Source organism: Homo sapiens, chromosome 2 (genome assembly GCF_000001405.40).
Source record: "Homo sapiens chromosome 2, GRCh38.p14 Primary Assembly".
Taxonomy (NCBI): Eukaryota; Metazoa; Chordata; class Mammalia; order Primates; family Hominidae; genus Homo; species Homo sapiens.
The window spans coordinates 96,059,259-96,060,495 of NC_000002.12; the positions used below are offsets into that span (position 1 = coordinate 96,059,259).

The following is a 1,237-nucleotide window of genomic DNA, read 5'->3' on the forward strand; positions in this document are numbered from 1 at the left end:
CCCAGACGGGAAGCAGTCACTCTGCCAGCTCTCAAGGACTCATCTCTGAGGTTTTAGACAGAATAATTTCCTCTCCCTCTCACGCCTGCCTGTCCGGGAAAATCACACAACCCACGCAGGACCCCCCCTACGTGCACCCACATGCCCCACAGCCATTGTCTCCTGCACCAGCCAGCAGAAAAGCAGAGTGGGGCATGGGAGGAGGATGCGGAGGCTGCAGGAAGGGGGGGTGACACCCCCAACCCTGAGGGTCTCCTGGTGTCAGGCCAAGAGCTGACATGGACATGGGGAGACAGGAGCCAGGCTCCTTCCAGATCCTCCCACAACCTGGGTTTCAGCCACCCTCAGCCACCCTGCCAAGGCCGCAGGCGCTGCACAAGGCCACAGGCAAATGTCCGGCTGAGGACTGAGGTAGGGGCTGGATCCCACAGCCCATTGGTAACAGAGACTGGATGAGAACGCCCGAGTCCAGTGCTCTTTCTGCACTGCTTCCCAGAACTTCCTGCCACTAGGGACCTGCAGCCAGAAAAGACAGGGCAGGAGGTACAGAGAGAGCAGAGAGAGCCTGCTCCAAGGGAGAGCCTCGGGACACAGGGAGTCTCATTCCTCCCTCCCAGCACGGGCTACGCCCATGCCACTCAGGCCTGAGCCACAGGGCACTGCCTAGCCCTGCTTGGGCCGGGGCTCACCAGCCCTTACAGACAGCAGGCCCCGCCTCCAAGACACTACCCCATGGCAGGGGAAAGCCTTGGGGTCCCCATAAAATGCAGGCATCGCCAGACAGAGAATAGGTCTGTCCTATTCCCAGGATGGGAAGATTTACTTAGGGAGGGGCCACCCTGGATACCCTGCCCTCCAGTAGCAGCCAGGTTCCGGAAGATCCCATGAGGGGCCAGTGTGGACCCCTCCCCTTCAACCATCCAGGCCTGCAGGTCTGGGGCTAATGGTGGGGAAAGGGGGCTCCAGCAGCTGAGGAGGGGCAGAGCCAGTGGATGGAGGCAGAAGGCGGGCAAATCTCAGGCACATTTTCTGCAGTGATAAAGACCTTTTGCTCAGCAGCTAGCTTCCACGGCACTTCTCCCCCACATGACACCACGTCAGGGCCCACAGGAGAAAGTCCGGAGTAGGCTGAGGCACTGGGTCCCCTCCCTTCTCCCAAACACACCTGCCTACAGGGGGCACTGCCCCCTCTCAGAGACTGGGGGTGGAAGCTTAGCTGCAGGGGGCGGGATGGCTC

General features: G+C 61.0%; 1 annotated feature.

Moving 5' to 3' along the window:
• Positions 1 to 911: an enhancer, noted in NCBI's record as "H3K4me1 hESC enhancer chr2:96725007-96725917 (GRCh37/hg19 assembly coordinates)". NCBI's record gives its function as "activates a minimal SCP1, AML or CMV promoter by ChIP-STARR-seq in primed H9 embryonic stem cells {active_cell/tissue: H9 hESC(primed)}" and the evidence as "EXISTENCE:reporter gene assay evidence [ECO:0000049][PMID:30033119]".